Source organism: Homo sapiens, chromosome 2 (genome assembly GCF_000001405.40).
Source record: "Homo sapiens chromosome 2, GRCh38.p14 Primary Assembly".
Lineage (NCBI taxonomy): Eukaryota > Metazoa > Chordata > Mammalia > Primates > Hominidae > Homo > Homo sapiens.
In genome coordinates this window covers 162262411-162285067 of record NC_000002.12, presented here as the reverse complement: position 1 = coordinate 162285067, position 22657 = coordinate 162262411, and the positions used below count along the sequence as shown (strand labels likewise).

Genomic DNA, 22657 nt, shown 5'->3' with positions numbered 1-22657 from the left:
CTTGCATCTGGCTTTCTCTGTGTCCTTCAGTAGGAAGTCAACACCACCCAGAGCGAGTATCAGGATTTCCAGCATCTGCTATCTCCTGTGACAACTTCTTTTTGTTCTGTACATCAGAAGGTGCGGCTTCTTTTGAAGATTTTTGACTCACCTTTTATGGGCAGAATTTTGTGGTGCAATGTCACTCCATAATACAGAGATTCTTAATTAAATCATTCAGCATGAGTGTATTTAAAGACAAATCAAATGTAGATCTTGTCCTCACGAAATATACAGTCTAGAAGAAAGATGAGAGATATATGTTGATAATATGATAATTAATATTTTATTGCACTTTATAAAGCACTCTCAGATATATTATCTCATTAAATCTACACAGCAACCCCATAAGGTAGTCTTTATTATTCTCATTTTTTCCCATCAGAAAACTGAAGTTTCAAGACTTTAATTGGCAATTCAGGGATCATCCAGCCAAGAAACAGCAGAAATGAGACACGAACTTTTATCTTCTGAGTCCACTGGTCTTCCTTTGCCACTGCACCCTCCTTCTAGAATAAAAGGATTGGTGAAATATCGTGGAAGTTTTAGTACTGACAATACAGCATCCTCTATTTCATTTAATTTTCACAACCCTATAATAGGTTAACATTATCCTCATTTTATTAATCTGGAAATTGAGAGCATTAAGATGATTGAGACCTTGTCCAAGGTACAAAGAAGTAAGTGGCTGGAGTAGCTGTTTTCAGGGCTTTCTTCCCTCTGCATCATGCTGTCTCTTTCCACTAAACTTAATTTCCATTCTTTTCCTCAGAAGCCTTCTGTCTTGCATAAATGAAATGGAAAGAATACTTCTAGAAAATGATTCAAGAACGGCTTTGTGGAAGAGAGAGAGAAGAGCAGAGCTGTGACTCTCAAATTTTAAAGGCTTAAATGTCATTAAAGTGAAGGTTTCAAGCCTCTGCCCCCCAGAGATTGTCCCTAGATTCAGTAATTCTTGAGTGGGACTTAGGAGTCTGCATTTTCTAAACTTCTCAAGCGTGTTTGTAACAGGTAGATTAGAGAGACTTTACTTTGAAAAAAAAAAAGAACTAAATGAAAGTTTCTCTTCTTACTCTTTCTACCCTTTCCACCTTGTGGTAAGGTAATGTTCTTTCACTCACCAACTTGATTACTGATTTTAAGTCCACTTTGCTTCCTTAGAATTTATGGATTTCATTTTAACTCTTCCCCACCCCTTCTTCCAGCCCCCCAGACACCTACTTTTGGAAGCCTCCATCATTTCCACTAAATAATAAAGTAAACCAGTGTTCTTCATAAGGTAGCTGTTCCCTTTAGCCAGGGGGATCAGCCATTCCTTATTTAACACCTAAGTGGGACTTACCTCAAGTAAAAAGATGAATAACACAAACCCTACAGACTAGGAGAAAGGTAACCACTGATTGCATTTCTGGTAGAATTATGGAGAGTGAATAATATAATGGGCATTCTTTGAAGCTTGCCCTTGAAACTCTTCCTGCCAACTCTCTGTTTCCCATATTGTACACTGCTGGGCTTCCATTGCATAAATCTTCCTAGGATATGACCTTCAAGATGGCCTTATATTTTTTCTCCTAATCCAGAAGGTATTTTGAGTGACTAGTAATGTGTAGCATTGAGGTGTCAACCCAGCTACCTTCAGCAGATGTTATAACATACAGAATCAGCTGAGAAGGACCCGAAGTTTCCACTTCTTTTGCCAGGTCTACTTTCGGGTTTGTTCTTTCTCAGCCACCACAGCTATTCCAGCAGCTCATTTCTTCACTTCACATCTGTTCTCCTAGTCAATGCCCTAACTCCTCACTTGTGGTTCCCTGATTCTTCCGGTCCTGTGGGCCTGTTGCTTCTGGTCTAATCCAAAACAAACAACAGGAATAAATCACTTCAACAGTACAACTTGTAGGGATCCTGTAAACTGTTATACTACATGTAAAATACTCTGCTTGATGTTTGCAGCCCTTTATAACCTGGCACTGCTCTACAAATTTAAAAATGTATTTCTTATTCAACCTTAGCTTCAGTTTATCTTTTCACTGACTCATGGCTTACTAGATTCAAATTCCTTCAAATTCCCCTTTTTTGAGTCGTCAGTTGCTTCTTCTCTTAACTGTCACTTTGTGTGTGTTTCTAGGTGAGCATTATTACATTGTGTTGTAATAATTTGTCTTGCTTTGTTTAGTCTTGGTCTGTATGATCAGCTAGACAGAGTTCCTCAGAGTTGTCAACCATATGTTAAATATCTTTGTGTCCCAGACATAAATGCCCACACCTAACAAGGGTATAATCAGTGCTTATTGACAGATGAATGAAAGGAGTGATGGGAACGTTGTTATGCCTGATTCACTGATAATGTAAACACCTCTTTTCATGCTGGATGCCAAACAGGCCTTTGATCAACACTCTTTTGGCTTCGACTAACTTTCTCTCTTTTAAAAAATCTTCACATTTTTTTAAGGTACTGCTAGTTGAACAGCTCTTCCGCAAGGAGTTCCAACCATTTTTGAAGAAATGGTATCGTGTTATTGGATTAAGTGGTGATACCCAACTGAAAATATCATTTCCAGAAGTTGTCAAGTCCTGTGATATTATTATCAGTACAGCTCAAATCCTTGAAAACTCCCTCTTAAACTTGGAAAATGGAGAAGATGCTGGTGTTCAATTGTCAGGTCAGTTTAAGTGTTTATTTTTTTAAAAAAATTAATAGTAATATTGATGATAACAAAGGCTGTATTTGTTAATTTTTTAAATGTTCGTGGCTTAAATTGTCTTTTATTGCTTATGGTTTTATTAAAATCCTTCTACTTCCTGGAGGAAACAAAAAAAGTAAGTTTTTAATTAGACCACTTTATTCTGCATAAGAATACCATTATTAAGGCAAGCACTCGCTGGACTTTCCATTTATTCTGACAAGTTCCTTTATTTGCTATTGAATGTTGTTAGATCTGCTTCCCTTTCCCATAGAATAAAAATACAAATCTTGTCTTTTATGGGGTATAGGATGAGAAGGTAGGAGAAAGAATGGAAAAAAATAAAAATAATTTATAATAACTAAATGCAATGTTAAAACAAGGCAAAATTTTCCCTCTTTAAATAGTGTGTTTTTCACTTGATGTAATAAAAATAAAATTCACCAACCTAAAATTAAATATTTTATTAAAGAACAAAAGTAAAATCCTGAGATTTGTTTTGTAATAAGCCAGGGTGTGAATTCCACATCTAACGCTTTTTAGCTCTGTAAACTTTCTGAATCTTATCTATTAAAGAAGGAGAATGTCTAACAGGGAGTTTCATGATTAGTATATACGAACGTCTGTGTGTACAGGTGCTAGTATAGTTAGATTTCCCTCCTAAAAACTGAAAGTGGACTGCTCTTGTGTCGTGCCCAAGAGAAGGCATCCCCAAGGCAGCTCAATTACTGGTCTAAAGCTATTTTCTCACTGTAGTGTGCTGATATGGAGAAATGAACTCTTTGAATTTTCTTTTAAGACTTTTCCCTCATTATCATTGATGAATGTCATCACACCAACAAAGAAGCAGTGTATAATAACATCATGAGGCATTATTTGATGCAGAAGTTGAAAAACAATAGACTCAAGAAAGAAAACAAACCAGTGATTCCCCTTCCTCAGATACTGGGACTAACAGCTTCACCTGGTGTTGGAGGGGCCACGAAGCAAGCCAAAGCTGAAGAACACATTTTAAAAGTAAGTCATAATTTTATGTATAACCAATGAAAGCAAAGCTAAAACAAATGCCAGGACTTCTTGGTCTTATTAAATAAGATTGAGTTCAAGTGCTGTGATCATCAGTTAAGTGAAATCTGTTTGCTTTAGTACAATAAATATACTCAGTCTTCTACAGAATACTAATATGCCTTAATAAATATCAATAACACAAAATCATATCATAAAAATGATGGAGAGTGATATAATTAATGGGAAGTTGAGATAAATAGAATGCCTTCTTTTGAACATCTACTCTTATGGTTAAATTTAATGATCTACCTGATATAGAAATATGCATAAACTATGAAAGTTTCTAGTTGTCACACATAATAAAGTCTTACTCCATGAGTTTCAAAACTGCGTATTTTCTGTCCTTCATATGTTATTCTAGGAATCTAGGTAATTCAAATTAAAGGGAAATAGGGATATGAAGATCTTTAAAGATGAGCTTGTCAGCTGCCCCCTAATGGTAACACCACATACAGTGCTACTGTTAATCTTGAGTGTTAAGTAAATCAGAGTAGCCCAAGAAGTATTTTGGTACCAAGGCAATTGCATTTGAATTTTAAGTCCCTTACTTTAAGTTGAATTCAATACAAATTATGTAGAGTAGACACAACATTCAGAGATGCAATTATAGGCTCCAAAATATAATTTATTACTGGGATTAAGGACTAATTCCAATCTAATAATCAAGGAACATGACTAAGGATGCTCCCAGCTTTATGTGTAGATGCCTGCTTTATGTGTAGAAGAAGGTGGTAGTATGATCCACGGATGTCAAGTTGACCTTTGATATGCCTCATGTAACATGGTTATCTCAAAATCATTCTCTGTCAATGATGGTAAATTGTTATACTCTTTCCATGTCAGTTTTCCACTTGGAAAATGGAATTTAAGGAATGAATATCAATACACCTTTTTCTCTGTTATTACACCAACTTGATTTAGAAGCTCCTTTTTCCTATATTAGGACAAATGTTGCTGATTGTGGGTTAATGAGATCCATAATAAAACAATGTTAAAATGCTATATTTAGCAAGCAATGCTACATATTACTTTCATGAAATTTTATACCACATATTTATGCTACAATTTAATGCTACATATTTTTTACATGAAAAAGAGTTCTACGTTGAATAAAGTGAAAGGGAAAAATAATTGCATAAATATTGAAAAATGTCTCTTTTCCAGCTATGTGCCAATCTTGATGCATTTACTATTAAAACTGTTAAAGAAAACCTTGATCAACTGAAAAACCAAATACAGGAGCCATGCAAGAAGTTTGCCATTGCAGATGCAACCAGAGAAGTATGGGCTTAATGTTTTATATCTATTGATTGACAATACTACATTCAGTAGAAAGATGGCAAAGGCTATTTTATACTGACCATCTGAAAAATATTATTTAAAAATTTTAGCAAACAAGTTTCAGGTTTTTTTTTAATTGATGTTAGGCAGTAAAGCACTACAGTGAATTCTCGCCTCTAGACCTCTTTTAGTTTTCTAATTTACATGAGGAATAGCTTATTCATTGTTTGTACATATGAGTTAAAAGGGACAGTGAGGGGCCATGGGCAGAGGGATGTGTAACTAAGCTGGAGGGGTTATGACAGTTCGTTTTAGCCTTTTTAATTTTCTTCGTGAATTCCAGGATTGATTTTCTGACATTCCACAGAGCCATTTTGTTGCTATCAAATTACATTTGGCAATGATAATGGGAATCCTATCTAATTTGCATACTTGCATATTTACTTTCTTAGGAAAACAGTGCAATGGTAAAGAAGTGAAATATTTACTTTAATGATGCTTTTCTGATGAATTTTTCAGGAATTATAAGAATAAACTGAGAGTCAATTTGGACATTATGGCCAGTAAATTATGTCAATACTTTATTTTGTAAAATTTAGAAAGCATTACAAATTCTGGCCATATGTACTTGATAATACCATTGAAAATAAGAATGTTGGGATCAAATGATATGAAATATGCATAGTAGATAAAACAATGCTTGAAATATAGTAGGCACTAAACCAATGTTAGTAACTAGCCTCCGTATATCTCTTTTTTTAAATTCTGAAAAAGACTGCTATCTACTCCAGCTGCACTAGCACAGTTGAATATATTTTATTCACTTTCCTTTTTTTGTTACTTATTTGGTTTTACTTGATAATTTTAAATGCATGTTTCTACTCATAAAGATTTTTAAAACTAAATTTCTCAGGTACATTTTTTAAAAGAATTTGCCATTTTTTAAACTTACTTTAATTTTTTTATATACCTTGAAGCATAACATACATACAGAAAAGTACAAATTCATATGTGTACTGATTGCTGAATTTTCCTAAACTGAATACACATATGTAAACAAAATCCAAATCAAGAGACAGCACACTGCCAGTATCCTAAAAGCTCCTGGCTCCCCCTTCCAGTCACCATGCCCCAGGAATCACTACTATCTTGACTTCTAAAACAAAAAATGAGTTTTCACTGATTCTGAACTTTATATAAATGGAATCATATAGCATGCACTCCTTTATTTCTGGCTTTATTCAGACTCTACTTCAACTTTTTATTTTGGTCGAAATAATACTGAAACCAGTTTTACAAAGGAGGAATGTTTCTTAAATTACACTGTAAGCTTTCTAAATAATTGTGGCATTAATGCAATATGTGTTTTCTAAGTTACCTTTAACATACAAGGTTTATATAATTCATTAACTTTACTTTTGTTAACCTTTTAAGTTGGAGATTCCAGCAGAGGTAACAGGGTGTTGGTGTGGGTGTGGCTTGATGGCAGGCTTAAAAGAGAAGCTGACAAAAATAAATGTACAGACAAGTGATGGGACACTAACCTGTTACTTTGTCTAAACAAAGATGAATCAGATTTATTATAACCTAGAAATTATTCTAACAAAGATAATGTTATTCCTTTAACAATAAGAATACATAAGAATAAGTGTGTACTTTATTTTTAGGATCCATTTAAAGAGAAACTTCTAGAAATAATGACAAGGATTCAAACTTATTGTCAAATGAGTCCAATGTCAGATTTTGGAACTCAACCCTATGAACAATGGGCCATTCAAATGGAAAAAAAAGGTAATTTAGGTTTGGACCTAACACTTAGTTTATCCCATGTTTATACCAAGATTTTAGATGACTATATCACAGATTCCCCAAAAAATGGAAAGCAAAAGTAGTTCCAAATAGAATTTCTGTGTTCTCTGTAGGACAAGCATAATAAACATGTTCTAATTCCTTTTCTAAGGAGAGAGATTCCAATGCTATCCAATTTTCTCTTTGTCTCCAGAGTCTTGAGATAAACTTTAATAGCTCTGTCTCCAAAGGCAAACTCAACTAATATATTTTCATGCCATTTCTCTGTGCATCAGCTACATGTTTTTGCTGAGGCAGAACTCAAGCAGCAAGTCTAGGAGTTGGAAAACTTGCCCTGTTTCAGAGCTCAGGACACATTTTGAGCCTTAACTTGCCCATTTTAAAACCAAGGTGAAGCCAGTTTTGCAGTTAGTAACATATATTCAAGTCCATGGCACAATTTTAGGGGGTTTATATGCTTATTATTTCACTTACATAATATATTTTTTCACAGCTGCAAAAGAAGGAAATCGCAAAGAACGTGTTTGTGCAGAACATTTGAGGAAGTACAATGAGGCCCTACAAATTAATGACACAATTCGAATGATAGATGCGTATACTCATCTTGAAACTTTCTATAATGAAGAGAAAGATAAGAAGTTTGCAGTCATAGAAGATGATAGTGATGAGGGTGGTGATGATGAGTATTGTGATGGTGATGAAGATGAGGATGATTTAAAGAAACCTTTGAAACTGGATGAAACAGATAGATTTCTCATGACTTTATTTTTTGGTAAGATTCAAAGTAACATATACTGGTGTCATTCATTTACCTTTTCAACATGAACTTACTGCTTCTCATAAGCTCTCCAAAAAGAGAAATATCTTTTGAAAGAAGAAATCCCACTCAGATTGGAACTATTTCTAATGATATGACCAGATTAGCTACCAGTTGTATGATCACAGTCAGTCATTTGGTCATTCAGTTTTATTGTCAAGACAATTGTAATGAATTTATTTATTAAACCATCCTAATTATTAGATATAGCGCAAGATTGTAGATGAGCCACAATTCATGAAACCTTCTAGTGTAATTCGTTGTATGTTTTACTAATTTATACTTCCAAATAGTTTTTAAATTAATTAATTTTTAATCAATAAAACTGTATATTTTTGGTGTACAAAATGTTTGATATATCTGTACATTGTGGAGTGGCTAAATCAAGCTTGTTAACATATCAACTCTAATTATTTCTTAAAGAAAACAATAAAATGTTGAAAAGGCTGGCTGAAAACCCAGAATATGAAAATGAAAAGCTGACCAAATTAAGAAATACCATAATGGAGCAATATACTAGGACTGAGGAATCAGCACGAGGAATAATCTTTACAAAAACACGACAGAGTGCATATGCGCTTTCCCAGTGGATTACTGAAAATGAAAAATTTGCTGAAGTAGGAGTCAAAGCCCACCATCTGATTGGAGCTGGACACAGCAGTGAGTTCAAACCCATGACACAGGTATAAATATCCTTTTGGACGACTTCTTTTCTTTTCTTTCTCTTTTCTTCTTCTCTTCTCTTCTTCTCTTCTTCTTTTCTTTCAGACGAGGCCTCGCTCTGTCACTCAGGCTGAAGAGCAGTGGCATGATCAAGATTCACTGCACCCTTGACCTCCTAGGCTCAAGCAATCCTCCAGCCCCAGCCTCCTGAGCAGCTGGGACTCTAGGTGTGCACCACCACACCCAACTAATTTTTTTATCTTTTTTGTAGAAAAGGTGTCCCACTATGTTGTCCTGGCTTGTCTTAAACTCCTGGGCTCAAGCCATCCTTCTGCCTCTGCCTTCCAAAGTATTGAGATTATAGGCACGAGCCACTGCGCTCAGCCTGGACTTCTTTTCTTATGCTGTTATTACTCTTCTCAAATTGTTTTTAGTCTTTTTCTACCAATCCTCTCACCACCCATGAATACATTTACAGGATAAAACACCTGTTCTTGAAATAAAATCTAAGGCTAATAGCAATCAAATCTGTGGTTTTTGAGAGGTTAAGTGTTGTTTTAGGAGTCATTTTTCCCACATAATAATTGGAAGAACTTTCTAAGTTTCCCTTGCAAAAATAAGTGACATGTAAGCTTAACAACAAAGTTCAGAAATGATTGCCATGTAGTATCAAGTGGAAAATTCAAACTCCCACAAAAATGTGTTCGTTATAACTAGAACTATGCAAAATATATTTACATAGAATGAGACCTCTAGGGAAACTTGAAAAAACTAAAGAATTTGATATATTAGAGATTTGGGATTCTGGTAAGTAGGTTTTCTGTTCCATTTTAAGGTGTTTTGTTTTACTTTGTTTACATGTTGCTTACTGTGGGCATAGTAAAAAAACACTTGGGTAAGAAAAAAAGGCACTAGTAGACATTACAAGCATGCATGAAGCAATGATGCCTTGTTAGAGTAAAATATTCTTCTGAGGGCTAAAATCACATTGACCCTGAGTCTTTCTGGACAAATGGATACTTCCTTTCTATTATAGTTATCACTATTCAAGCCAATGGAGCAAATTAATTCTGTTTCAGTGTTTGCTGGAAAAAAATTCTTGAAATGGTTCACTATAACTCTTTATATACCCTCTACATGCACTCCTGTGAGCATTGCCAATAAAATTAATGCCAGAGAAAGTACTGTTTTCCTTGGGTAACAAGTTTGCTTCCTTCTTTTTGATGAGATGTAGTTTGCTTTATATGTTTTTCTTTTTGCCTTAGCTTCCAGAAAGCTAGCAGGAAAAACTCAAGTTCAGTCTCACAGCCTCTGTGTTGATTCTTATGAGTTCTGTTTTTAAATTTCTATTATATTAACTTTAGCGTTGTGACTTTTATTGTAAGAGGGCTAAGCTTCTCTGTAAAAAGAGGTAGAGTGCAAATGAAAAGCCTATGTTCAAGCTACTTTCTGCTCCTTATTCATTTCAAACCAAGGGGCTGTGTGCCAAAATACAGAACATATTCCCTTCCTTCCCCACTCCTTGTATCCTCACCTTGTAAACTGGGGTGGACAAACTCCTTAGCAATGGTGTTAGGCATCTATGTGATGTGACTTGAAGATCTGACACTGTCTGGAATTTTTGTTATTAAAGTTACTCCTTCAAATTAAGACACAGGCATCTTCTGCTAAAATCCAAGAACATGTAAGTTTTTATCGGGAGATGTGAGGGCCGGAGGGAGAAATTTTCAGAGAAGACTCAAGAGAGGCCTTTCTACAGGGTTCTCCGACAGTTAGGAGTAGGAGTCAAATAAGGACTCACACTGCCTCTGAGAAGAAAGGGAAGGGGATGGAAGAACATACTTTTGGTCTGGCAGCTTTATTTTTGTTTAATGTATGGGGGCAATAGACAGTGTGGATGTGCACCAAATGCCAACTGGACCAACAGCTTTGATGAGAGTGGTTATGAAAATAAAACCACATTGTCCATATCAAGCTAGGTTTGTGCTCACTCATTTCTCCCATGTAAGGATGAGAGGTCATATTTTAATTTATTTATATTGACTTTCAAAATTCAGAGTTTTTTCATTTGAAAATAGTTTTATTTACAGTTGCATAACCTCTTCTTTCATTTTTATTTATATTGTCCCTTTGAATTGATAATATATTTACCTCATTCAAAATTAATGAGGCACAAGGCATACCACTGACCTCTAGTCTTCCAGCTCCCCTCCCTAGATGCAGCTGATGTTTTCAGTTTCTCTTGTGTCCTTTTGGGAATATTCCATAGCTTCTAACTCAAATGATTCTTAAAGTGACCAAATGCATATACAGTGTGCATTTTCTCTGTGACTGAAAACAATATATCAAAGCATCTCTGCATCTTATCCTCTAAATAGCAAAGATTCTGAAGTTAATGTAGTGGGGGAAAAAAGCCCATTTTAGCTTCTGATTGTCATATCCTCTTCTCAACCGACAGCTCCTCCTTTCTTCCTCTGGAGTCACCCATCAATTTATTTCCTTGGCATAAAATGTGGTCTTCCCACCTCCAGACTGGATGATGGAAATATTTTTGTTATTGTGTGGTAATCCCAGATTGGAAATCAAATGTTGTCTCACCATTATGTCTTTGTTCAATGCCAAAAACAGATGGCAACAAATCCATGTATGATCTAATCCTTTGATTTACACTGACCAGTTGCAATTTATTATTTCTTCCTCTAATTAGAAGATTTTAATGTGTTTAGCATCACAAAATTTAATTTATTAAAATGTTTCTACAGAATGAACAAAAAGAAGTCATTAGTAAATTTCGCACTGGAAAAATAAATCTGCTTATCGCTACCACAGTGGCAGAAGAAGGTCTGGATATTAAAGAATGTAACATTGTTATCCGTTATGGTCTCGTCACCAATGAAATAGCCATGGTCCAGGTACATTCAAATACCTCTACTTACTATGTTAATTTTTATTTGTTGTGTTCCTATTTTAATTGCTTTCTTTTAGTTAAACAGCAAAAACATCTTTTTAGTTTTTAAAACAAAGCCTTTTTCCTGTTAAAAGAGCATTTTTAAAATGCTGTGCACTGTTGCCTTTCATATTGCTGTCAATTCATATAATAACCAGATACCTGTTGTATGTTTAAACAACAACTCCTCTTTAGCTATTTCTGTACCCTAAGGCTTTCCAGGACCATGACACTAGCCCCATTTGTAAGAGTCAAAAGCAGCCTCCTCTTTCCTAGGATGTCTGTGAGCCCCCAGCTGGACCAGGAATCTAAAGTACACTGTCCCACAAATGTCTGATGAAGTAACATGCCCAAACCTGAGGGAGCCCTGCTGTTTCTGCATTTTCTTCCCTTATCCTTTCCAATTTTCTGTGTGTTTAGAAGTTTTCATGATAAAATGTTGGTTGGGGGCAGACTTATAAATGTAAAAATAAATAAAAGAGTGAAATGTTCTGTTTTCATTCAGATTTCACTTTATCTCTTACCCACCTATGTTAATGGCATTATTGTAACCTGTTGAGTAGGCATAGGTGTTATGCTGATTAATAGATACACTATTCTTCCTATAAAATTAACTAAAGGGATTTTTAAATAACTTAAATTGCATCCTTGAATAAAAGGCAAGTCATAGAAGACTAAGATAACCAGACTGCCATCAAATTAGCAAATAATTTTATTTCAGGAGTCTATTTGTAAGTCAGTGATAAGCTTAGTAATCAAACTTAGAATACATTTTTCCTTGAGGATACTTTTATAGTTGATAGGCTCCTGGGCCAGGCCACAGAAGTTTCTATTAATCAAAATATACCTGAATATCACTTTCATAAAGAGGCTTGTAGAAAGTTATCACCATGTTAAATATGTTCCCATGGGAAAATGTGCTAAGAATGTAATGTAGGATGCCAGAAACTGACCTGCCTTCTCACCAGCCCTAGTGTCAAGGTCAGAGATGACCCTTCTCTCCATTCATTCCTCCCAGCTTCCTACCAAGAAAGACGACTCCTCAGTCCAAGTCATTGATCGTGGTTCTCATAGTTTGAGAGAGAAGTTCTGAGAGCAAAAAGCCTGGACAGGATGATATTATGTCATTGAGGCCTAACCATCATCACTCTAGAACACTTTTTCTGTATTAAAGCATATTATAAGTTTCAAAGAGCTGACTTACAAGTAATGGATTAATAACTAACTTTACTAACTTTACCCATTTGAAGACTGGCATGCTGAACAACCCAATATCATTTCATTCTGAGCAAGAATATCATTCCCAGAAAAAACCAGGAGGATTTGTATCACAACGTACCCTTTCATTTACTTGATTTATTTGTGTTTTCAGGCCCGTGGTCGAGCCAGAGCTGATGAGAGCACCTACGTCCTGGTTGCTCACAGTGGTTCAGGAGTTATCGAACATGAGACAGTTAATGATTTCCGAGAGAAGATGATGTATAAAGCTATACATTGTGTTCAAAATATGAAACCAGAGGAGTATGCTCATAAGGTATTGTTGGTCACCTCTGAATTTGATTTTCATTTAAAAATGGCGGCATGTGGTTGCCATTGATATCTCTGTGACTCATTCTCCAGACAAAAATTGTGCTGAATTATAAGTTTCTGTTTAGTGAACTGTGCTTAATCCAGATTCACATGCAGAGAATCAAGATCCATGGTGGGCAGGAAATTATCAGGGAGCCATTCCTCATTCCAGTAAAACCAACCATAAATTTGGATAATATAAATTTAGCCTGCCTTGTTCCAGAAAGACTGCTGCAACTCACTGATTCAATCCAACATGGTAATTTTGGTTTGATCCAATTTGTTTGTAAAGGCACAGTTTTTTAATTTCAGAAATGTAGATGAAACGCCTACTGTGTGCCAGGTAACCTTATAGGAACAGCCAACAGAGGAAACAAAACACATAAGACTCCTGCTGCACGAAGTTTATATTTCTAGTGTGTGCCTGGTGAAGTTTGGAGGACAGAAACAGTAAACAAACATTAAAAGACAAGAAATATAATATATCAAGATAAGTGAAGAGAATTAGAATAGGATGATATGAAACAACTGACTAGATGGATACTTTCTTGTTTTTAGTAGTTTTTGAAATTCTTTTTTTTCTTATTATACTTTAAGTTCTAGCGTACATGTGCACAACGTGCAGGTCTGTTACATATGTATACATGTGCCATGTTGGTGTGCTGTACCCATTTACTTGTCATTTACATTAGGTATTTCTCTTAATGCTATCCCTCTCCCCTCCCCCCACCCCACGACAGGCCCTGGTGTGTAATGTTCCCAGCCCTGTGTCCAAGTGTTCTCATTGTTCAATTTCCACCTATGAGTGAGAACATGCGGGGTTTGGTTTTCTGTCCTTGTGATAGTTTGCTCAGAATGATGGTTTTCAGTTTCATCCATGTCCCTACAAAGGACATGAACTCATCCTTTTTTATGGCTGCATAGACTAGATGGATACTTTCAACTGGGTGGTTGAGGAAGGTCTCTTAGAAGGAGTGACAGGGAAGCTGCATCTGAATGATAAGAAAATACAGAATATGTCATCTAGCTACATCTCAATTTACTAACACACAGTTATTTGAGTTGTGCAAAGGAATGCAGTGAAGAAAGAATGTATTTCTATAGTATTTCAGGAAATCCCCCATACCACTGAATTAAAAACTGTAACTACTATAATAGCAAACAATCCATTTAGAAGAAAATTCACACCCTTGCATATGGGTGTGAATGTTAGTTTCTTAACATTGGAATTGGCTCTACCTTAAATAGAGTTTCACTAAAGGGATGCTTTCAAATTGGTGTGCATTGCTATTACCAACTCCAAGGTTTCCTGACCAGGTTTCTGCACAAAACTTTATTTTAAAACCCCTTTAAATACAAGGCAAAGCAAATATTTTAGAGTATCAAATCAAACTTTTGTCACCAAATTATGCCACTGGAAAGTTACTGCCTCCCAGTTAATGTCCTAAGAGAATTAATCAAGTAGATGTTTACAAAGACTGATGTTTTAAGAGTAGTTTTTTGGGGGTCAACACTAGGACAATCTCTGGAGTTTAAGGGTCAAATTCTTCCAGACATTCTTTAGAATAAGACTCTGTCCCTTTGGGTGCCCCAGAATGGACTATATTTTTAGGTCTCCTTTGGCCAAGAAACCTGCCCTCCTAAAACTACTTCAGGTAGATGAACTTAGAGTAGGAGTGGCAATGGGGAAGGAGGGCTACATGCCACCAGTAATCTGTTCAAAGCCTGTAGAAAACATTGCTACTGGGAAGATGTTTACTTTCTTCTAATTTGAGCATCTTTCTCAACACAATCTTCAGACAACCACTAATGAATGATGAGAATTGACAGATAAGATGAAATCTTTCTTCCATGTCATAAACACAGTTTAAACATAACAGAGCTTCTTAAAATTAAATCAGACTTCTAGGAGCAAGTTGATCATCATAAATGTTTTTCTCTAGCATTGATTCAATTTTTTTGCTACATTATTACACTTTATTTGGACTTAGGCTGATTGTAGCTGTGCCTCCTGTATATTTATTATGAGTTCTTTTTTTTGTTTGTTTACCCCTCTAGTTACTTCAAATTCCTTTACTATTTTAGAGTTAGTCTTTTAGCTTCTGATGTCCTGATTACAAATCCATACACTTACCTTGGCTTTATTTTTTTTCTGACTCATTCATACACATTTCTTAATTCCCACATGTATGTGATCCTATAATTACCTTATCAGCTCATTGAACTGTAAATGTCTTATAAAAGTAACCTATTAAAACTTTTAGGGAAAAATATTTCAGTGTATTATTTTGCTATAATTTACATAGGAAATTAATCTTGGTACTTGTCTGATTAATCTATTATATAGCCTCCAGGCTTGCTTGCAAGGTTTTATTCTCTTTTCTATGCTATATATGGCTGCCTTGAAGGGAGATCTAAAATGTAGAGTTAGAAGCCAAAGAGATGGGCTTTGTTCAACTGCACTGATGACTTACTTTTACTGAAAATTTCTCCCTCGGTCTTAAAGAAAACAATTAATTCTTCCATAATTTAATATAAATATGTCATCTATGAGAGGTCAGTTTGGCGGTAAATTATTCAAGAACCAGATTTTTCTACCGTGAAGTTGTGTTGGTATAAACACTGTTCAGTCCCTATGTCAACTTTCATATGTTACATAAACTAGATTATTTCCATTATAAAATAAGTGCTGCTGCTAGTCACAGAGCATAGAATAAAGAGGTTGATGGGCATATTCTCTCACAGAAGGAATCTAGGCAGTATTGGCTCCATGAAGTTATGAGGAATCCAGGCCTTTTCTCTCCTTTTTATGCTGTTATAGCATTGGGCTTTCATTCTCATGGTCGAAGATGGCTTTTAGAATTTCAGCTGCCACATCCTCATTCTAGGCAGGAAGTAAGAGGAGAATGGAAAGGGCGAAAGGTACACATGCCAGCTATCTAATTTTTAAGAAGATTTTCTGAAAATTCCACTCAACAGCTTTTTACATGTCATTGACTGCTGGTTTGGAAATGTAGTCATTTAGCTAGCATATTTCCACCCAGAATAAAATTATGGTTCTGTTAGGAAAAATGGACACTGAATGAAAAACTAGTGGTTTCTGCTACAAATGTGTAAAGAGTAGACTGATTAAGATGGTGAAGGGTCTGAAAATTATAAAGCATGAAAAAAGATTAAAGGCATTTGGGTGCTTAGCATAGATTAGAGAAGACTTGGTAATGTAATAACAGTGTTTAGTAAAGAGATTCCATGTGGAAGGAAGTTTAGACCTATTTTATGGAACAGAATTAAAACAAATGGGTAGGCTGGCGCAGTGGCTCACACCTGCAATCCCAGCACTTTGAGAGGCTGAGGCAGGTGGATCACTGAGATCAAGAATTTGAGATCAGCCTGGGCAACATGGCAAAACTCCATCTCTACTAAAAATATGAAAATTAGCTGAGCATGGTGGCAGGTGCCTGGAATCCCAGCTACTTGGGAGTCTAAGGCAGAAGAATCCCTTGAACCCAGGAGATGGAGGTTGCAGTGACCCGAGATAGTACCAACACACTCCAGCCTGGGCAGCAGAGCAAGACTCCATCTCAATAAATAAATAAATAAATAAATAACAAATGGGTAGGCTAGACAGAGAATTTTTGTTGAATATTGCTAAGGACTTTCTCACAATAGAACTTTTCTGAAATGGAATGGGCTACTTTTTGAATACCTGAAGACTGCACATTTTCATGGTTACAGGAGATGATTATATACCAAATTCTTTGGGGGGTCATTACCTCATTATTTTTATTTCCTAGACCATAAGCTAAGGGTATATTTTCACAACTAAGACCTCCAAATTTCAGGAGACTTACTTCTATGAAACTGAAAAAAGAAAACAAACCTGAAACCACTAACTATTCCTTTCTCTGTCCAGATTTTGGAATTACAGATGCAAAGTATAATGGAAAAGAAAATGAAAACCAAGAGAAATATTGCCAAGCATTACAAGAATAACCCATCACTAATAACTTTCCTTTGCAAAAACTGCAGTGTGCTAGCCTGTTCTGGGGAAGATATCCATGTAATTGAGAAAATGCATCACGTCAATATGACCCCAGAATTCAAGTGAGTCCAGAAAGACCCATTTTTACATTTTTCCACAAGGGGTGAAGCAGGTTGCATTGTAAATGTTCTTTCAAAATAGTGCAAATGAGATTCATTTATTTTACAACTTCCTCTCCTTTAGCCTCTCAATTATATTCCTATTTTAAATGTCTATGTTTTAAATAAACTGCACTGGGGCAGGAAAAGAGAAGTGTAAGAACCAAAGCCATTTTGATCCAAGGCACGTATTTTTGTATGCTCATCATTTGTTCTCAAATTTTTGAACAACTAAAGTCAAGTTAATATAACCAACAGACTTGAAAGAAGTTATGAAAGGCAACATGCCCCTTGAGAGGTATGTGTAGAAGAGAAGCATTGCCTTAGTTGCAATAACAAGCCTGGGAAGCAGGAGGGAAGGAAGGAATGCCGTGTAGAATACCGCAGGCATGCGGATGAGCTCCAGGTCCAATAACCCATGAACTACACACTGGTATTTTGTCAGTTCTCCATGATGATTCTTTCCCTTTGATACTTATAGGGAACTTTACATTGTAAGAGAAAACAAAGCACTGCAAAAGAAGTGTGCCGACTATCAAATAAATGGTGAAATCATCTGCAAATGTGGCCAGGTGAGTAAATTGCTGTGGGCCAGATTTTACTTTAGCCAACAGGAATGTTTAATTGCATGTACATTTAATTTTCCTCTTGCTCTCTCTTTTGTTTTCCAGGCTTGGGGAACAATGATGGTGCACAAAGGCTTAGATTTGCCTTGTCTCAAAATAAGGAATTTTGTAGTGGTTTTCAAAAATAATTCAACAAAGAAACAATACAAAAAGTGGGTAGAATTACCTATCACATTTCCCAATCTTGACTATTCAGAATGCTGTTTATTTAGTGATGAGGATTAGCACTTGATTGAAGATTCTTTTAAAATACTATCAGTTAAACATTTAATATGATTATGATTAATGTATTCATTATGCTACAGAACTGACATAAGAATCAATAAAATGATTGTTTTACTCTGCATTGAACTCTTTTTAAGAACACAATATATTATGCATTATCCATCTTATTGTTGGGCAGAGGTAAGGAAAATCTACCAATAATTCTCATTAGTGTGGAGCATTATAGTCCTGTGGAAAGAATGCTGAAGTACAAATGAGAATCCAAAGTACCAGTCTCAGTTCTGTCACTAATTTTCAGAATAAAATTAGGCAAATCAGTTCATCTTTCTGAACCAGTCTCCTTATCGATGAAATGGTCATAACATTCTCTAGTTTTACTTTTTATTAATTTTCTATTGCTCTATAACAGATTGCCACAAAGGTAGTGGCTTAAATCAACAATCATTAATTATAACACATGTCCTGTTGGTCAGAAAGGCAGGGTTCTTTGCTCAGGGTCTCACAAAATTGAAATTGAGGTGTCAGCCAGACTGTGTTCTCATCTGGAGGCACTGGGGAAAGAATCCACTTCCAAGTTCATTCAGAGTTTTGGCAGAGTTTGTTTCCTTGCAGCTGTCTGACTAAGATGGCTGTTTTGCTGTCTGTCCACTGGGGATCGCTCCCAGCTCCAGCAATGCCCCTACCACACAGCATGCTCAAGCCTCTTTCCCAGCACAGATATTTGCTTCTTCATGGTCAGAAGAAGAATCTCTCTCTCAAGTCTGCTCAGATGGAGTCTTAGATAGGTTAACTGTAACCATAGAAGTGACTGTCTCATCATATCCGTAGGTCCTGCCCACACTCACCGCAAAGGGATTATTCAGGGAATCACCCCAGCCAGTGGGAATCGTGGGGACCATCTTAGAGCTTTGCCTCCTACATCACTTGCCCAGTCTTTGCAACTAAATGATATCATAGGAAAGTACTTTAAAAACTGTGAAGTACCATTAAAGACCAGTTAAGAAGCAGCATCAAGTAGCTTAAGGCTTCCTTCCTAGGCCTTCCCTTCCACAAACATAACACTATGTTGCAGAACTACCTAATGACAGAGTAGTGGCTAAATCCAGGCTGACCATTAATGCCAACAAGATTACACGTGTCCCTGGACAGCCGTTCACCTCCCACTCTAGGATTCACACTGGAGTTAGCAGGGAGCAGATGCTGAGTGTTATTAGAGAATAAAGAGAAAAATGTCTGCCTCTGCCCCCAACAGAACACTACGGACAATTCTCCCAGTAGAAAAGCAGCCTCTTTTGACAAGGAAGAGCCGCATGATTCAGACAGAAGCCACAATTGACCATTTTAACCAAAACTTAGCAAGTCTCACAGATGGCTTGCTCCAAGGGAACATTTACCTCCTGTGACTAAGAAGAAACAAAATGTTGGAGGGTGTGAAAAGAACATTCTTCTGAAGCTTTGATGGATTAGTTGAGTTGATATTACAGTAGTTTTGAATCTTTCCTTGATAATGCCTAATCAGAGATGAATATTAACCAATGAGATCTCTTGGGTATACAGGAGGACAAAAGAAGACACACATAATTGATGGTTTTCTTAAAATACTTTTTTAAACTCCAGCTGACTCCATTTAAAGTATTGCTGTCTTCTAGAATGTTTTGGAAACTATGCAAGAAACCAAATGCATAAAATAGCTAAATGTACTACTGTAACATATGTAGACTGTTTTTGAGGTGTCAACAAATATCAGGTTTTTTCATCTATGTTTTTCAGTAACTTTTTTCAATTAAAAAAGTGTTATTTCTACTTTAAAGTTTTAAAATACATGTTTAAAATAGTGTGAAACTTAATATGTGATGGTACCTGAAAACTTGAACTATGGTGCATATGTTTCATTCAAAAAATAGCGATGATTATTGTAGCGTTTCAGCTGATTGTTACTGAACAGTTCAATACCCATATTTTAGGGTCACTTACAGAATATGTTAGACATCAGCCTGTGAGTTAGAATGCCTGAGTTTTAGTCTCCATAAGACCTTCGGCCAGACCCAGTGGCTTACGCCTGTAATCCCAACACTTTGGGAGGCCGAGACGGATGGATCACTTGAGGTCGGGAGTTCAACACCAGCTGGCCAACATGGTGAAAAGCCATCTCTACTAAAATACAAAAATTAGTGGTAGCAGGCACCTGTAAACCCAGCTAATCAGGAGGCTGAGGCAGAAGAATTGCTTGAACCCAGGAGGCAGAGGTGGTGGTGAGCCGAAATCGTGCCACTGCATTCCAGCCTGGGTGAAAGAAGGAGACTCCGCCTCAAAAAAAAAAAAAAAGAAAGACCTTCAACCAGTGGGTGACTTTGAGCAACCTTAGTTCACAGTGTTCCCTCTCCTGGAAAATGAGAGATTGGATTAGATAATATCAAAGGTCCATTACAACTATAGCATCCTCATAGTTCCATGCTTCCTGCTTTCATTTTAAGACCTTGCCCAATGACTTGTAATATCAACCGTGGGCTAAATACCTGCTCAGTGCAATACATATTGAAATGTAGCTCACGTATGTTAAAAGGCATTGTAAGGATCTCACAGAACAGGTACCCCGTCTGGAGTCATGTGTCTTAAGGCAGTTTCAAAAGGCCCAAAAGTGTCAGGAAATTATACAACAAGTATTTTCAAACCAACAGATTATTGGCAGACCTGGTGGATAAGAAATATAAAGCATAATCCTAAAAGTTTGATATCATTTCAGACCATATGAAATTAAAATACAGCAACTTAGAGTTTATGTAAGTATCTTGAATGTAAGGCATTGATTATGGCAACACAAACATAAATAAGAAATGATTTTCCAAAGGATGATTAATTAGTACAGTTCACAAGTAATTGTTGAAAGTGAGTAATGCTATAGATTCCTCTCTGCAGTCTAATAGTCCCTACAGCAGAGTGTTATGCCTTAGAGAAAAGAATTCTGGGGTTTTTAATTCAGTTGACCATAAAGCCAAAGAGGATTGGAGTTTCTCTTAACATTGTTGCTTTTAAGATTTAAGAGACTCAAACACACATATGTGCCAATGGGGAAGAATACTAGAGAGTGATAAAATATTAGCATTGTCCAACTCCAAAATAAATTGCTTATTGGGTATTACTGATACATTCTACCAAATGTTCTTGCTATAGTCTTTTCTGGTCTCCCTTATCCTTTCTCAAATGAGTGCCTCTGCACATGGTTAGAAGTTGTTCTTTGCCAACTCTTCAGCAGACACCCTTTATGGTCTTCAAACACAAAACCCAAATGTCACTTCCCAGAATCTAGCACATTCACATTTTCTAAACTGGAATGGAGAGAAATGTATGTAAGGTATCTCTCACTCCTCCTGAGCATGATAAAATGCTCACTCCCAAAATCTGGCTAACAATTATGTGACTCATAACAATAAAGAAACAAGAAAATTAGTTTATTTCCTTCTAAGACTTATGAAGTTAATTTGAAATTTCTGCATTCTTCAGTTTGTGCATTTCTCTTTAGTCTTACTAGATACACGGTTTTATATATTTTATAGGGACAGCCTTTTTATGGGGACAGCAGAGAGTGAGACAAACTTGGGTTTGGATCCTCACTGGATTTGTGACTTCGGCAAGCCACTTAATCTCTCTGAGACCATAGGGAACTATAATAATATCAACCTTGAGGGACTATAATGAAAATTTGGATATTTCATGGAACATGTTTAGCTGTTGTCACCTCATAGGAATTAATGTACAGAATACAGGAGCAGGAGTTGCCAGAAGAGTACCAGCAGCTGTAGTAGCCTGAGCTACTACTATGAGAAACATAGATGAAAAAACGTGATATTTGTTGACACCTCAAAAACAGTCTACATAAGTTACAGTAGTACAAAATAGAAGCAAAGAGAGCAGTTAGATGACACTAGGCAAGTCTGTTGTGTGGAATAGGGTAATGGTATGGCATACTATTAGTGAATTTTAGATCTATGTTTAACGTTTAAGTAGGATATAAACAAGATTGGGGCCCTCTCCACTTCATCAATGGTTAGCTCAAAAGACTCATCCCAAAAAAGTAAATAGTATCTGTAATGAAACATGGTTGCTATGAATATGCTATTCAGTGTAGATGGGGGGCAATTTAACGTCCAGATCTTCTATGGACATAACAAAAAGATACATATCATAAATATATACGTATAAGTATTACATTACTTTTTTTTTTTTTTTGAAATGGAGTCTCGCTCTGTCGCCGAGGCTGGAGTGCAGTGGTGCAATCTCGGCGGCTCACCGCAAGCTCCGCCTCCCGGGTTCACGCCATTCTCCTGCCTCAGCCTCCCCAGCATCTGGAACTACAGGCGCCCGCCGCCACGCCCGGCTAATTTTTTGTATTTTTAGTACAGACGGGGTTTCACTGTGTTAGCCAGGATGGTCTCGATCTCCTGACCTCGTGATCCTCCCGCCTTGGCCTCCCAAAGTGCTGGGATTACAGGCGTGAGCCACCGCGCCCGGCCCATAAGTATTACTTTCTAAAAATAGTCTTCTTCCCATAGCCCCATCTAGCATGTGGGCTTTAACTTGGATTTAAAAGTTATTAATTAAATAAATAGGGCTCAGCACTTTCCACATCTCACCTTCAAGTATATCTGCAAAGCTTTAAAATGTTGTGATCAGTGTAACCCAATTGAAGCTGGGCCTCTTTGTGGTTTCTCTCAGCATGGAGTTGTATTTAGAAGAAACTCAACATCAGCGTCTAAATTAATATAAAACCAACTTAAAGGTTTATTCCTGA

General features: G+C 36.4%; 1 protein-coding gene across 2 annotated transcripts in view, besides 1 other annotated feature; it reads left to right on the top strand.

Annotated features, from left to right (window-relative positions):
• The window catches only part of IFIH1 (interferon induced with helicase C domain 1), a 51611-nt gene extending 33617 nt beyond the window's left edge, over nt 1-17994 (top strand). For both annotated transcript variants that reach the window (NM_022168.4, XM_047445407.1), the window contains 11 exons: nt 2492-2702; nt 3523-3740; nt 4956-5072; nt 6740-6863; nt 7375-7653; nt 8122-8381; nt 11124-11273; nt 12681-12842; nt 16791-16981; nt 17499-17589; nt 17689-17994. In NM_022168.4, coding sequence (NP_071451.2) covers nt 2492-2702; nt 3523-3740; nt 4956-5072; nt 6740-6863; nt 7375-7653; nt 8122-8381; nt 11124-11273; nt 12681-12842; nt 16791-16981; nt 17499-17589; nt 17689-17868 — 1983 coding nt within the window. In that variant the 3' untranslated portion in view covers nt 17869-17994. The remainder of the gene's footprint in view (nt 1-2491; nt 2703-3522; nt 3741-4955; nt 5073-6739; nt 6864-7374; nt 7654-8121; nt 8382-11123; nt 11274-12680; nt 12843-16790; nt 16982-17498; nt 17590-17688) is intronic.
• Nucleotides 18975-19144: an enhancer, noted in NCBI's record as "experimental_55125 CRE fragment used in MPRA reporter constructs". NCBI's record gives its function as "activates a minimal promoter by MPRAs in K562 erythroleukemia cells, with activity observed for both the introgressed and non-introgressed 2:163122519 variant alleles {active_cell/tissue: K562}" and the evidence as "EXISTENCE:reporter gene assay evidence [ECO:0000049][PMID:34662402]".